Consider the following 15922-nt stretch of genomic DNA (forward strand, 5'->3'; position numbering starts at 1 on the left):
CAACCTTGTGAATATATTAAGGTTTCCGCTCAATCTACCATTCAATTGTACTCTCTAAAATGATTAATTCTATAGTATATCAATTATATCTCTAAATAATAAAAACAAAAAGAAATGGCTGGGTGCGGTGGCTCATGCCTGTAATCGCAGCACTTTGGGAGGCTGAGGCGGGCGGATCACAAGGTCAGGAGTTTGAGACCAACCTGACCAACATGGCAAAACCCCGTCTCTACTAAAAATACAAAAATTAGCTGGGCGTGGTGGCACACGCCTGTAATCCCAGGTACTCGGGAAGCTGAGACAGGAGAATCACTTGAACCCGGGAGGCAGAGGTTGCAGTGAGCCACTGCACTCCAGTCTGGGTGGCAGAGCGAGACTCCGTCTCAAAAAGAAAAAAATTAAAAAACAAAAAGAAACCTGGTTCTATATTTTGTTTAAATTTATTTTTTTAACCATCATGTAATATGTCCACGTAATTTGTTTAAATTTTGACATCAAATGCAATTGTGAGAATTTTTATGATTCAGAAAAATCTAAGCAAGCTTTATAAAAACATACTTTTTTTTTTACTTTTTTTTTTTTTTCTGAGACACAGCCTCACTCTGTCGCCCAGGCTGGAGTGCAGGTTTTCATGTTTATCTGTGAGATGTACCTTTGGCACATTACTTTCCTGACATGAGATTTAAAATTTTTTTTTTTATCTTGTGACAATTTAACTTTTTTGACACATAAAAATTGTACATATTTATTTGTTTGAGATGGAGTCGCACTCTGTCACTCAGGCTGGAGTGCAGTGGCGTGATCTTGGCTCACTGCAACCTCCGCCTCCCGAGTTCAAGAGATTCTCCTGCCTCAGCCTCCCAAGCAGCTGTCATTACAGGCCTGCACCACCACACCCGGCTGATTTTTGTATTTTTAGGAGAAACAGGGTTTCACCATGTTGGCCAGGCTGGTCTTGAACTCCTGACCTCAAGTGATCCACCCACCTTGGCCTCCCAAAGTGCTGGGATTATAGGCATGAGCCACCGTACCAGACCCCTAAAAATTGTATATATTTAAGGTGTACCATTTGATGTTTAGATATACATTGTGAAATGATTACATTCCACATATTACCTCTACGGAGTTACCATTTTTGTACACTTGGTCAACATCATCCCATTCTCCCCTTCCTCCACAGATATTTCTTGTATACTATATAGAAGCCAAGGGTATTTTGGGGGAAGAGCTCAAAGTTCCTTTCGTGGAGTTAAAAATATATATATACTATGTACATATAAGCCATTTAGCAACCCTAGATGCTTAATAAAGAATACTGGAGGCCCGGTGTGGTGGCTCACACCTGTAATCCCAGCACTTTGGGAGGCCGAGGCGGTCGGATTACGAGGTCAGGAGTTCAAGACCAGCCTGGCCAACATGGTGAAACCCCATCTTTACTAAAAATACAAAAATTAGCCGGGTGTGGTGGTGGGCGCCTGTAATCCCAGCTACTCGGGGGGCTGAGGCAGGAGAATTGCTTGAACCTGGGAGGCAGAGGTTGCAGTGAGCTGAGATCACGCCACTGCATTCCAGCCTGGGTGACAGAGCAATACTCTGTCGCAAAAAAAAAAAAGAATACTGGAGGCTGGGCGAGGTGGCTCACACCTGTAATCCCAGCATTTTGGGATGCCAGAGGCGGGCGGAATATCTTGAGCTCAGGAGTTCGAGACCAGCCTACACAATATGCTCCAAACGCCGCCTCTACAAAACATACAGAAACTAGCCGGGTGTGGTGGCGTGCCCCTGTGGTCCTAGCTACTTGGGAGGTTGAGGCGGGAGGATCGCTTGAGCTCGGGAGGTCGAGGCTGCAATGAGCCGAGATGGTGCCACTGCACTCTGACGACAGAGCGAGACTCCGTCTCAAAACAAACAACAAATAAGGTTGGGGGATCAAATATCTTCTAGTGTTTAAGGATCTGCCGCCTTCCTTCCTGCCCCCATGTTTGTCTTTCCTTGTTTGTCTTTATATAGATCAAGCAGGTTTTAAATTCCTAGTAGGAGCTTACATTTACTTTTCCAAGGGGGAGGGGGAATAAATATCTACACACACACACACACACACACACACACACACACACACACTGGAGTTCGAGACGAGGCCTAAGCAACATGCCGAAACCCCGTCTCTACTAAATACAAAAAATAGCTGAGCGTGGTGGCGCACGCCTATAGTCCTAGCTACTGGGGAGGCTGAGGTGGGAGGATCGCTTGAGCCCAAGAAGTCGAGGCTGCAGTGAGCCGAGATCGCGCCGCTGCACTCCAGCCTGAGCGACAGGGCGAGGCTCTGTCTCAAAACAAACAAACAAAAAAAAAAGGAAAGGAAATATAACACAGTGAAATGAAAGGATTGAGAGAAATGAAAAATATACACGCCACAAATGTGGGAGGGCGATAACCACTCGTAGAAAGCGTGAGAAGTTACTACAAGCGGTCCTCCCGGCCACCGTACTGTTCCGCTCCCAGAAGCCCCGGGCGGCGGAAGTCGTCACTCTTAAGAAGGGACGGGGCCCCACGCTGCGCACCCGCGGGTTTGCTATGGCGATGAGCAGCGGCGGCAGTGGTGGCGGCGTCCCGGAGCAGGAGGATTCCGTGCTGTTCCGGCGCGGCACAGGCCAGGTGAGGTCGCAGCCAGTGCAGTCTCCCTATTAGCGCTCTCAGCACCCTTCTTCCGGCCCAACTCTCCTTCCGCAGCCTCGGGACAGCATCAAGTCGATCCGCTCACTGGAGTTGTGGTCCGCGTTTTTCTACGTCTTTTCCCACTCCGTTCCCTGCGAACCACATCCGCAAGCTCCTTCCTCGAGCAGTTTGGGCTCCTTGATAGCGTTGAGTGGAGGCCCTGCCGCGACTTGGCAGTAGCTTATTTTGTTCACTCCTCTCTGGCTGGTGTGGGGGAGGTGGGGGCATTAGGCCAGGGTGAAGCAGGGGAACCACTTAGGAGTCTGTTAAGATGATCTGAACTTCAGAACAAGATGTTATTAACAGAGTGAAAGTATTTGGATTCTGGGTATATTTTGAAATCGGAGGCAACAGGTTTTTCAGATAGATTCGATAACGGAGGTTATCCTGAATAGTTGAAAAGATAAAGTTGCCTTTTGCTGAGGTGGGAAAGAGAAGATTGCCAGTAGAGCAGGTTTCTCAGGAGTTCAGTCTTGGGCATAGCATGGTAGGGGTGAATTTGGCTGGAGTGAGTTGGAGAGTAGGAGAAGAGAAATCCAAGGCAACATTTGACCAGCCTGGGCAACATAGTGTGACTCCGAGTCTGCAAAAATTAGACGGGTGTTGTGGTGCGCGTCTGTGGTCTCAGCTACCTGGAAGGTTCAGGCCTTGGAAGGCTCAGGGAGGTGGAGGCTGCAGTGATCTGTGATTGCGCCTCTGCACTCCAGCCTGGGCGACAGAGCCAGACCCTGTCTTAAAACAAAATAAACGGCCGGGCGCGGTGGCTCAAGCCTGTAATCCCAGCACTTTGGGAGGCCGAGGCGGCCGGATCACAAGGTCAGGAGATCGAGACCATCCTGGCTAACACGGTGAAACCCCGTCTCTACTACAAATACAAAAAATTAGCCGGGCGTGGTGACGGGCGCCTGTAGTCCCAGCTACTCGGGAGGCTGAGGCAGGAGAATGTCATGAAGCCGGGAGGCGGAGCTTGCAGTGAGCCGAGATCGCGCCACTGCACTCCAGCCTGGGCGATAGAGCAAGACTCCGTCTCAAATAAATAAATAAATAAATAAATAAATAATAAAAACATCGGTAGGCATATTTCAAGGAATTCTATTTAAAAAAAATTTTTTTAGAGACAAGTTCGCTCTCTGTGGCCCAGGCTGGAGTACAGTGGCATGATCCTAGCCCATGGCAGCGTTGATCTCTTGGCCTCAAGCGACCCTCCTTTGGAGTCGCTGGGCCTAAAGGAGTGAGCCACCACGAAATTTTATTATAAATGGAGGGTAGAGAAATTGGGCAATAAATGGAGGGGGAAGTGAGTTAAGAGGAATTTTAATTATGTGTGTGTGGTTTTAAAAGAGGGGGGTCTTGCTCTGTTGCCCAGGCTGCTGGGGTGCCAGTGGCGCAATCATGAATCACTACAGCCTTGGACTCCTGGCCTCAAGCTATCCTCCCACCTCTGCCTCCCAAAGTACTGGGATTACTAGTGTGAGCCACTGCACTAAGATAGGAGCAACATGTTTCAGCATGTTTGTGGGTTGATAGGAAAGATGAGAATGGGAAAGTTGATGTCGGAAAGAAGACAATGGCTAGAGCAATGTCCTAGAGTAGGTAAGAAGGGATGGATTTGGCCTTTGTTGGAAACATTAGCGGTTCTTTTGGTGACAGCTATATAGTTAACACATCTATGATACGTGAATGGGCAGATAGGATGGCAGGAGATTTTGAAAGTTCTCTTGATTCTTACTGTTCTCTTAGTGAAAGAAGCAAGGTTATCAGCTAGAAGCTGGGATGGGAGAGGAAAGAGAAGATGGGAAGTAGATAGTTCTTTAGAAGAGTGGGCAAGGGTTGGACTAGGGAAGTTTAGTGGAAATATTGCTAGGCAACATAAAGAGCCTACTTGAGATTCGTGGTCATGAGTTGAAGGAGACCAGACAGCAAGATTGTGTATGAGGGCACCCACAGAGTAAATGGAGAGTTGAAATTAATGCAGTTGTGATTTTACCACGTGGATATGAAGAAGTGAGGGGGAGAAGTACAAAGGAGTTCTCTTAATGATTGACCATGGAATTTAAGCTGGCTAAGAAAGGAAGTGAGAGGCCGGGCGCGGTGGCTCACGCCTGTAATCCCAGCACTTTGGGAGACTGAGGTGGGTGGATTACCTGAGGTCAGGAGTTTGAGACCAACCTGGCCGATATGGCGAAACCCCATCTCTAATAAAAATACAGAAAAATTAGCCGGGAATGGTGGCAGGTGCCTGTAATCCCAGCTACTCAAGAGGCTGTGGCAGGAGTATCCCTTGGACCCAGGAGGTGGAGGTTGCAGTGAGCCGAGATCACGCCACTGTACTCCAGCCTGGACGATATAGTGAGACTTCACCTCAAAAAAAAAAAAAAAAGAAAGGAAGTGAGGATTTTAAGACCCTGAGAGACAGTTTAAAAAGTGGGAGGATCGGCCGGGCGCTGTGGCTGACACCTGTAATCCCAGCACTTTGGGAGGCCGAGTTGGGCAGATCACAAGGTCAGGAGTTCGAGACCAGCCTGGCCAATATGGTGAAACCTTGTCTCTACTAAAAATACAAAAATTAGCCGGGCATGGTGTCACGTGTCTATAATCCCAGCTACTCGGGAGGCTGAGGCAGAAAAATTGCTTGAACCTGGGAGGCAGAGGTTGCAGACAGCTGAGATCACTCCATTGCACTCCAGCCTGGGCAACAAGAGCAAAACTTTGTCTTTAAAAAAAAAAAAAAAAAAAGAATACAAAAATTAGCCGGGCGTGGTGGCGCGTGCCTATAATCCCAGCTACTTGGGAGGCTGAGGCAGGAGAATCAGTTGAACACGGGAGGCGAGGTTTGCAGTGAGCCGAGATTGCGCCACTGCACTCCAGCCTGGGCGACAGAGCAGGACTCCTCTTGGAAAAAAAAAATTAGCTGGGCATGGTGGCAGGTGCCTGTAGTCTCAGCTACTAGGGAGGCTGAGGCAGGAAAATCACTTGAACCCGGGATGTGGAGTTTGCAGTGACCCGAGATCGTGCCACTGTACTCCATCCTGGGCGACAAAATGAGACTCTGCCTCAAAAAAAAAAAAAAAAAAAAAAAAAGTGGGAGGATCAATGTACTGCCAGTCCTAATGAAGTGGAATGATTGTCCCCATCAAATCACTAGTAGGAGTAAGTTGCAGAGCCTAGAAGGTGATGGTTAAGAGAGTGGGATTCTTGAAACTGCATTTATGGAGAGGTTGTGGTTATTGGTTATAATAAATAAATACAGTTGAAGTGAGTGAGTAGCTGAGATTTGGGGATGTATCAGTTCATTCTTACACTGCTACAAAGACATACCTGAGACCAGGTATTTATAAAGATAAGAGGTTTAATCAGCTCACAGTTCTGCTGCCTGTACAGGCTTCTCTTGTGGAGGCCTAAGGAAACTTACAGTCATGGTGGAAGGTGAAGGGGAAACAAGCACAGTCTTCACATGGCCAGCAGGAGAGAGAGAGAAGGGGGAAGTGCTACATACTTTAAAACAACCAGATCTTGTGAGAACGCTTATCAGGAAACAGCACTTGGGGATGGTGCTAAATCATTAGAAATCACCCCCATGATCCAGTCGCCTCCTACCATGCCCACCTCCAACACTGGGGATCACAATTCAGCATGAGATTTGGGTAGGAACACAGAGCTGCACCACATCAGAGGATGTACAAGATTGTGGTGGAGAGGAGTTTAGAGACCTGCAAATATAGGGTAATTGAAGGGATCATCTACATGGATATTTAAATCACCAAAAATTATGACAGGAGTAGTGTTGGAGAGAGAACTGCGATGTAAACATTAAGGAATGAGGAAGAGTGACTCGGTAGGCTGTAGGTGACTGCAATAGGAAACGATAATAGACTGTGAGTCTGGTGACAAGATTTTCCTTCTTTCTTTTTTTCCCCCCCCCCGAGACAGGGCCTCTTTTTGTTGCCCAGGTGGGAGTGCAGTGGCGCGATCACGGCTCACTACAACCTCCTCCCAAGCTCAAGGGATTCTCCCACTTCAGCCTCTCAAGTAGCTGGAACTACAGGTGCTGACCACCATGCCTGGCTACTTTTTGTCAGGATTTTCAAGGCTGGGAATTTTGAGAGGGGAATGGAGGAGAATAATCTGAAAGTGCAAGTAAGGAGCAGGGAAGATTTCTTTTTTCTTTTTTTTTTTTTTTTTTGAGTCGGAGTCTGGCTCAGTCGCCCAGGCTGGAGTGCAGTGGCGAGATCTCCGCTCACTGCAAGCTCCGCCTCCCGTGTTCACGCCATTCTCCTCCTTCAGCCTCCCGAGTAGCTGGGACTACAGGCGCCCGCCACCACGCCCAGCTAATTGTTTTTTTGTATTTTTAGTAGAGACGGGGTTTCACCGTGTTAGCCAGGATGGTCTCAATCTCCTGACTTTGTGATCCGCCCACCCCGGCCTCCCAAAGCGCTTGGGATTACAGGCGTGAGCCACCGCGCCAGCCAGAGCAGGGAAGATTTCTTCCCCACATCTCCAGTAGGTACAGTGATATGAAGTGTGTGGAGGAGAAAAGAGGAAACATCTATCATTTGAGATGGCTGCGAAAGGAAAAGGCATCCTCAGGGAGCTAGATTTTACTTAGAGCAAGAAATGAAGGGATGATTCAGAGGTTAAAAGAGTGGATTTTATGAATTACTCAAGGGAGCACAGTGGAAGTTTCAGGAAGTGGTAGGAGAAGGTAGAAGATGGCAGGGTGTTGGGAATAATTTGAGAAATCTGAGCTACTGGAAATGACTGAGAATCAGATATAAAGGCAGTCCTGGTGGTCCGTTCTGGCTGCCGTTGCTGTGTAACGAATCTGCCAAAACTTAGTGGCTTGAAACAACAAAGAACATTTTATTATCTCTCATTGTTTCTGTGGGTTAGGAATTTGTGAGAGCCGTGCTGGGCAGTTTTCGTGCGGCTGTCTCGTGGTTGCACCTACATAGTTGCTAGAGCTACAGTAGCTGGGGACTGAGCAGCTAGGGATTGGCAGGCTATCTCTTTTTTTCATGTAGTCTCATGAAGATTTCTTTATGTGGTTTCAATGTGTGGGCTGGTTTGGATTTCCTTATAGCATGGTGGCCTCAGTTGGATTGCTGTTTTGTGATCCTTTTCATCCCTCCTTGTCCTGTCCCCAGACAACCACTGATCTACTTTCTGTCACCATAGATTAGCCTGCATTTTTAAGAATTTTTATAAACGTGGAATGATAGAGTACCTTTTTTGTCACGTTTCTTTTATTTATCATAGCTATTTTGATTTTCATCCATTTTATTGCTGAGTAGTATCCCATTGCATGTATATACTATACTGTATTCATTCGCTTGCTTGTGAACATTTGGGCTTTTTCCAGTTTGGGACTGTTAACAAGTAGAGCCACTATGAATATTAGTGTATAAGACTTCATATAGCCAAGGCTGGCAGATCGCTTGAGCCCAGGAGTTTGAGACCAGCCTGGGAAACATGGTGAAACCTCTATTTTTATTTTAAAATCAAAAATTAAAAATTTTCTATAAAAAATTTTAAAGAAGACTTTGTATAGACATACGCTTTCATTTTTCTTGAGTGAATACTTAGGTCTCAGGGTAGATGTATTTTAAGTCTTTAAGGAGCTGTCAAACTCTTCCTCAAAGTGGTGGTTGTACCATGTTACTTTTTAATATAACAGAGATTAATTGAGCAAAGAAAAATTCAAAAGTTGGACAGCCCCCACAACTAAATAGGTTCAGAACAGCTCCCCCATTTTGCATTTTGACCAGCAATGTATGAAAGTTCCATTTGCTCAGTGTCCCTGCAAACACCTGGTATGGTCAGTCTTTTTAATTTTAGGCATTATAATAGATATAGTGGCTTCTTGTGATTTTAATTAGCATTTCCTAATGACCAGTGCTGCTGTTGATCATTTCATGAGTGTATTTGCCATCCGTATATCTTTTTTGGTGAAGTGTCTATTCAAATCATTTGGGTTTTTTTTTTTTTTGTTTTTTTTTTTTGGAGACAGTGTCTCACTCTGTCACCCAGGCTGTTGTGCAGTGGTGCAATCACACAGCCTACTGCAGCCTCCACCTCCTGCGCTCAGTCTTCTTGTCTCAGCCTTCTGAGTAGCTGAAATTACGAGCACACGCCACAATGCCTGGCTAATTTTTTAAAATTTTGTAGAAACAAGGTCTCATTATGTTGCCTGGGCTTGTCGTGAACTCCTGGGCTCAAGCAATCTTCCTGCCTCAGCCTCCCAAAGATTGGGATTGCAAGTATGAGCCACTGCACCCGGCCAACTTACCCATCTTTTAATTGAATTTTTTTGTTGTTGAGGTTTGAGAGTTCTTCATGTTTGCTGGGTACAATATCTTTATCAGATAGGTAACTTGCATGTATTTTCTCCCGGTTTACACTTTGGTTTTTCATTTTGTTAACAACGTCTTTTTAAGAACAGAAAATCTTAATTTTGCTGAAATCTAATTTTTCAGTTTTTTCTTTGATGGTTTTGAGAGAGGAGGTAAAAAAAGACTAGGTAAGCCGATAGTTAGACAGAGTCCTCGGTAGAACTTCCCTTCTAACAAAAAGCAGCCCAAGAAATCACTTCTCTTCTAACAAGGAGCAGCCTGGAAGATCGGGCTGTAAACATGTATAAGGAAGCAGCTCTGGCACAGAGGGGGAGCTTCCTGGGTAATCAGCAAGCTTCACATACGTAAGGTGGGTATGTGAAGTAAACACAGTATGTGAAGTAAACACAGTGGACCTTAGTACATACTCAGATAAGGAAGCTGGAAGCTTGCATGTTGTGAGTTGTTGGGGTTGCCTGCAGCTGCACGGAGAGAAAGGGGTACCTGGGGCCAGGCATGTCCACCATGGTGGCTCCACCTCCCCTTATTTAGCACATGCACAATAGGAAAGAGATAAGCAATGTGGAGTAGCTCAGGCCAAGGACCTGCCTGCATAATAAAAGGTTGGGGTGGGGGATGCCAGAGATTCACGCTCTGTGCAGATGGCAACACCTGGTCCTAACTGGTTTTTTGCTCCCTATGTGTAGATAAGCTACCCCCTTCCCATTAGCTCATTTATAAAAATGCTTGCATTTCACTGTGGAATGGGAACTCTTTTCAGGACCTCTCTCTGCAGGAGAGAGCTAGTCTCTTTCTTTTGCCTATTAAACTTCTGCTCTAGCCTCACACCCTTGGTGTGTCAGCGTCCTTGATTTCCTCAGCGTGAGACCAAGAACCTCGGGTGCCACCCCAGGCAACAAGGCCATTTCAGTTTGTTCTTTTGTTATAGGCAATCCATGATCACAGATTTTTCTCTCTTTTTTTTTTTTACACAGTTTAGAGTTTTAGTTTTACACTTAGGTCTGTAATCCATTTTGTATTAATTCTTATATGTGGCTCAGTGTAGGTGGAAATTTGGTTTGTTTTTGCATAAGGATTTCCAATAGTTTTACCACCATTTCTTGAAACTACTATGCTTTCTCTATTAAACCACATTTGTAACTTTAGTTAAAATCAGTCACATATATCACAGGGCTATTTCTGACTCTCAATTCTGTTACATTGTCTATTAGTGTATATTGATGTCAGTACTACACTTTTAATTACTATTGCTTCAGGGTATGTCTTGTAAACCAAAAATAAAATTATAGGCCCCCCCCGCCCCTGCACAACCAACTGAATGGACCCATCCTCTCAGCCAAGGGCATTCCAAAATTAACCTGAAAAACTAGTTCAAGCCATGATGGGAAGGGGGAGTTGGACATGTCTCATCACACCCTACTACCTTTTGGAATTACTGATAGAACAGACTCTTAAAGTCTGAAAAGAAACATTTACAACCTACCCTCTCTGAAGCCTGCTACCTGGGAGCTTCATCTGCATGATAAAACCTTGGTCTCCACAACCCCTTATGGTAACCCAAACATTCCTTTCTGTTGATAATAACTCTTTCAACTAGTTGCCAATTAGAAAATCTTTAAATCTTCCTATGACCTAGAAACCTCCCTACCCCCACTTTGAGTTGTCCTGCCTTTCCTGACAGAACTCATGTACATCTTACATATATTGATTGATGCCTCATGTCTCCCTAAAATGTATAAAACAAAGCTGTACCCCACCACCTTGGGGACATGTCATCAGGACCTCCTGTGGCTGTGTCATAGGAGCGTCTTTAACTTTGGCAAAATAAACTTTCTAAATTGATTGAAACCTGTCTTAGCTACTTCTGGTTTACAGTCTTAAAGTTAGATAATGTAAATTGTCCAGCTTTGGTTTATTTTTGTCCTTAGTAGTTCCATATAAATTTTAGAATCAGCTTTTCAATTTAATACACTACTTTCCTCTTAGATCCACAATTAAATATATTTGATGCTAACAATTCTGTTTTATGTTTTTCGTTTTTTTTTTTTGAGACAAGAGTTTCGCTCTTGTTGCCCAGGCTGGAGTGCAGTGGCGCGATCTTGGCTCACCACAACCTCCACCTCCCAGGTTCAAGCAATTCTTCTGCCTCAGCCTCCCGAGTAGCTGGGATTACAGGCATGCGCCACCACGCCCGGCTAATTTTGTATTTTTAGTAGAGACGGGGTTTCACCATGTTGATCAGGCTGGTCTTGAACTCCTGACCTCAGGTGATCCACCCACCTCGGCCTCCCAAAGTGTTGGGATTACAGGCGTGAACCACCATGCCTGGCCAGTTCTGTTATTTTTAAAACCCAAGTTTCCCTGGTCATATCTTGGTTGGATGAAGCGTATTTTCAATAGATTACCCTGGAAAGGCTAGTGAGTACGGTATTCTTCTACATTTTAGACTTTTCTTAGTCTTGCTACTTCAAGGACAGCTAGGCTGCATATAAAATTCTTGGCTCATACTTTTTCCCCATAAATTTCTATGAGAAAGTCTAATGATAACTGATTTTCTTTATTTTGTAACTTAGTCTTTTTGCTTAGAGGCTCTCTGAGGATGGGAGGGGGTTCTTCCTCCCATCCCTAGGAATTTTTCTTTTTTTTAAATTCCTAATCACTAGACCACCAGGAAGATTGTTTGTTTTGTTTTGTTTTTATTCTTCAGGGACCCCATTTATACATACGTTAAATAAATACTGTTTGCCAATGTATCAACCATTTTGCTTCTTATTTATTTTTGTTCCTTTGGTTCTTTTTCATGGCTTTGCTTTGGTGCTCCTTAGATTTTCAGTCAGATGTATTTGTCCTTGGGTACCTTGTAATCAGTATTACCTTTTCTTCTGTCGCTTTGTTTTCTGTTCGTTTTGAAATTACTTGTTTCCTGGTCTGGCAATAACAGTTGAGATATGAGGAGTTTGAGCTGCCATCTGTCTATGTATCTTGCTTTAAGACTGCACTCTTCTATTGATATCACTGGCCTTGATTTTGTGATTTCTTTATTTCTTCAGGACCACCCTTCATTTTCTACTGTTTGCTTCCTTTTTTTTTGAGATGGAGTCTCACTCTGTCACTCAGGCTGGAGTGCAGTGATCTTGGCTCATTGCAACCTCTGCCTCCCGGGTTCCAGCAATTCTCCTGCCTCAGCCTCCCAAGTATCTGGGACTACAGGTGTGCACCACCATGCCCGGCTAAGTTTTGTATTTTTAATAGAGACGGGGTTTTGCCACATTGGCAGGCTGGTCTCAAACTCCTGATGTCAAGTGATCCACCCACCCCACCCACCTCTGCATCCCAAAGTGCTGGGATTACAGGAATGAGCTGCCGTGCCCAGCCTCCCCCCTACCCCCCTTTTTTTCTTTCGAGACAGAGATTATAGGTGTGAGCCACTGGACCCAGCCTGTTTTTATTCCTTTTACCAAATCTCCAAGGAATATCTTCCCTTCCAAGTGCGAATGTAACCTTAAGTCAGTTAACCTCTTTGTGATTACTTTTCTTATCTGCAAAGTGACTTAATGATCTTAAGTACTTTTTTTTTTTGAGACAGGGTCTCACTGTCACCCTGGCTGGAGTGCAGTGGCACGATCTCTGATCTCCACTCACTGCAATCTCCTCTTCCCTGGTTCAAGCGGCCCTCCCACCTTAGCCTTCTGGGTAGCTGGGACTACAGATGTGAACCACCACGCCCAGCTAATTTTTGTACTTTTTGTAGAGATGGGGTTTTGCCATGTTGCCCAGGCTGGGATTATTAAGTACTTTTTATCATACAGCAAGATTGACATTTTATATTGGAATACATTTGTCTCTATATAACGGAGATTAACAGGAAAATGACAAGCCTGGGTGCGGTGGCTCATGCCTGTAATCCCAGCACTTTGGGAGGCTGAGGTGGGAGGATCACTTGAGGTCAGGAGTTCGAGACCAGTTTTGCCAAGATGATGAAAGCCCATGTCTACTAAAAATACAAAAATTAGCCCAGCTTGATGGTGGGCGCCTATAATCCCAGCTATTTGAGAGACTGAGGCAGGAGAATCACTTGAACCTGGGCGGCAGAGGTTGCAGTGAGCCGAGATCATGCCACTGCACTCCAGCCTGGGTGGCATAGCGAGACTCTTGTCTCAAGAGAAAACAAAACAAAACAAAAAAAAAACAGGAAAATGACAAAAAGTAATATTACAACTCAGTGAATTTTATAACAAACTTTTTTGGAATTCATTGACTAATACTATACCAAATCCAAAATACTCTCTAGTATACCAAATCCAACTCTACCCTATAGTATAAATTGGATTCTATTTGGACTTGTCTCACTAATCCCTCATACAGTGTGTTTTATTTTTTATTGAAGTAAAAAAATTTGTCATTTTAACCATTTTTAAGTATATAGTTCAGTAATATTAAGTATGTTCATGTTGTTGCGCAATAGATCTTCGGAAGTTTTTCGTCTTGCAACCTGAAACTCTACCCATTAGCAAATTCCCATTTCTCCTTACACTTAGCCCTTGGTAATCATCATTCTTTTTTTTTTTTTTTTGAGATGGAGTTTTACTCTTGTTGCCCAGGCTGGAGTGCAATGGTGCAATCTCGACTCACCACAACCTCCGCCTCCCAGGTTCAAGCAATTCTACCTCAGCCTCCCGAGTAGCTGGGATTACAGTCATGCACCACCACGCCCGGCTAATTTTGTATTTTTAGTAGAGAAGGGGTTTCTCCATGTTGAGGCTGGTCTCGAACTCCTGACCTCAGGTGATCTGCCCACCTCGGCCTCCCAAAGTGCTGGGATTACAGGCGTGAGCCACTGCGCCTGGCCCATTCTTTCTAATTCTATAAATTTGACTACTTAGTTACCTTACATAAATAAATTCTTATAGTTAGTGTTATTTTTGCTTCCATGCCTTTTTTGTTGTTGTTCATGCTCTTACTTGGAATGCGTTCTATTTTGTCTACCTATGCACATCCTGTTGGGTTTTTTTTTTTTTTGGGGGTTTTTTTTGTTTTTTTTTGTTTTTTTTTCCCAGACAAGGTCTCAATTTGTTACCCAGGCTGGAGTGCAGCGGCGCCATCTCCACTCACTGCATCCTCAACTTCCTGGGCCCAGGTGATCCTCTCGCCTCAGCCCCTGCAGGTAGCTGGGACTATAGGCATGTGCCACCATGCCCAGCTAAATTTGGTTTTTTTGTTTGTTTGTTTTTGAGACAGAGTCTCACTCTGTCACCCAGGCTGGAGTGCAGTGGCACAATCTCAGCTCACTGCAATCTCTGCCGCCCGGGTTCAAGTGATTCTCCTGCCTCAGCCTCCCAAGCAGCTGGGATTACAGGTGACTGCCACCACGCCAGCTAAGTTTTGTAGTTTTAGTAGAGATGGGGTTTCACCTTGTTGGCCATGCTGGTCTCGAACTCCTGACCTCGTGATCTGCCTGCTTCTGCCTCCCAAAGTGCTGGAATTACAGGCATGAGCCACCACGCCCGGCCAGAATTTTTGTATTTTTAGTAGACACAAGGTTCTTACCCTGTTGCCTAGGCTGGTCTGGAAGTCCTGGACTCAAGCAATTCACCTGCCTTGGCCTCCCAAAATGCTGGGATTACAAGCCACCATGCCCGGCCTAAATCCTGTTGTTTTGTTTTGTTTTATTTTGTTTTGTTTTGTTTTGTTTGTTTTTTGAGACAGAGTCTCGCTATGTCTCTCAGGCTGTAGTGCAGTGGCGCGATCTTGGCTCACTGCCACCTCTGCCTCCCAGGTTCAAGTGATTCTCCTGCCTCAGCCTCCCAAGTAGCTGGGATTACAGGCATGTGCTACTATGTCCGGCTAATTTTTGTATTTTTAGTAGAGACAGGGTTTCACCATGTTGGCCAGGCTGGTCTCGAACTCCTGACCTCGTGATCCACCCACCTCGGCCACCCAAAGTGCTGGGATTACAGGCGTGAGTGGTTTTTATTTCTTAGGCCGGTTTCCTCCATATGATCTTGCAGTAGACATTAATTTCTTTCCTTTTTAATTAAAATACTGTTTGTATTTCACATTTTGATGTTTGTTAAGATTTGTTTTATATTGTTTTTTGTTTTGTCTTGTGTGATAGTCTTAAATCCCTAGTTAGATAATAACTGGAGAGTACCATGTTTCTATATATCTCTCAGTGACTTGCACAGTGCTAGCAGATAGTGCTAAAAAATTATTTATTATTATTATTATTTTGTTATTGTTGTTGTTGTTGTTAGACAGGGTCTTCCTCTGTCACCCAGGCTAGAGGGCAATGGGATGATCATAGCTTACTGCAGCCTCCAACAACTGGGCTCATGTAATTCTCCTGCCTCAGCTTCCCAAGTAGCTGGGATTACAGGCATGAGCCACCATGTCTGGACAAAAATATTTCCAGGTGCAGTGGCTCATGCCTGTAATTCCCACACTTGGGAGGCCGAGCGAGGCTGGAGGATCACTTGAGCCTAGGAGTTCAAGACCAGCTTGGCTAAGATGGCGAGACCCCGTCCCTACAAAAAATTTTAAAAACTAGCCAGGCATGGTGGCATGCACCTATATTCCCAACTACTCAGTGGGCTGAGGTGGGAGGGTCATTTGAACACAGGAATTTGAGGGGAGAAAAAAAGAAGAGAGAAAGAGAAGTGAAGGAAGGAAGAAAGGAAGGAGGGAGGGAGAGAAGAAAGAAACGAAAGAAAGGAAAAGAAAAGGAAGGAAAGAAAATTGGTACCAGGAAAGCAGGAAAGGGAAATGGAAGTAAAAAAATAATAATAATAATAAAATGAAAATTGGTTAGTCACTATTAACAATTTGTATCCTTATAATCTGGAAACATTATAATTTCA

The 15922-nt window shown here is 44.7% G+C and overlaps 1 protein-coding gene and 1 long non-coding RNA gene across 10 annotated transcripts in view, besides 3 other annotated features; one reads left to right on the forward strand and one right to left on the reverse strand.

The window, feature by feature from the left end:
* Positions 2164 to 3096: an enhancer, noted in NCBI's record as "H3K27ac-H3K4me1 hESC enhancer chr5:70220520-70221452 (GRCh37/hg19 assembly coordinates)". NCBI's record gives its function as "activates a minimal SCP1, AML or CMV promoter by ChIP-STARR-seq in naive H9 embryonic stem cells {active_cell/tissue: H9 hESC(naive)}" and the evidence as "EXISTENCE:reporter gene assay evidence [ECO:0000049][PMID:30033119]".
* SMN1 (survival of motor neuron 1, telomeric) overlaps positions 2412 to 15922 on the forward strand; it is a 41435-nt gene continuing 27924 nt past the window's right edge. For 8 of the 9 annotated variants that reach the window (XM_047417615.1, XM_017009786.2, XM_011543597.2 and 5 more), the window contains exon 1: positions 2412 to 2655. In XM_047417615.1, coding sequence (XP_047273571.1) covers positions 2575 to 2655 — 81 coding nt within the window. In that variant the 5' untranslated portion in view covers positions 2412 to 2574. The remainder of the gene's footprint in view (positions 2656 to 15922) is intronic. The other variant, NM_000344.4, reaches the window with a different exon arrangement.
* Positions 8715 to 10311, reverse strand: SMN1-AS1 (SMN1 antisense RNA 1). Its single transcript, NR_185500.1, has one exon. It is a non-coding gene; the product is annotated as an SMN1 antisense RNA 1 (long non-coding RNA).
* Positions 9247 to 10238: an enhancer, noted in NCBI's record as "OCT4-NANOG-H3K27ac-H3K4me1 hESC enhancer chr5:70227603-70228594 (GRCh37/hg19 assembly coordinates)". NCBI's record gives its function as "activates a minimal SCP1, AML or CMV promoter by ChIP-STARR-seq in primed H9 embryonic stem cells {active_cell/tissue: H9 hESC(primed)}" and the evidence as "EXISTENCE:reporter gene assay evidence [ECO:0000049][PMID:30033119]".
* Positions 10308 to 11036: an enhancer, noted in NCBI's record as "OCT4-NANOG-H3K27ac hESC enhancer chr5:70228664-70229392 (GRCh37/hg19 assembly coordinates)". NCBI's record gives its function as "activates a minimal SCP1, AML or CMV promoter by ChIP-STARR-seq in primed H9 embryonic stem cells {active_cell/tissue: H9 hESC(primed)}" and the evidence as "EXISTENCE:reporter gene assay evidence [ECO:0000049][PMID:30033119]".

The sequence above is a fragment of the Homo sapiens genome, chromosome 5 (genome assembly GCF_000001405.40).
Source record: "Homo sapiens chromosome 5, GRCh38.p14 Primary Assembly".
NCBI lineage: Eukaryota > Metazoa > Chordata > Mammalia > Primates > Hominidae > Homo > Homo sapiens.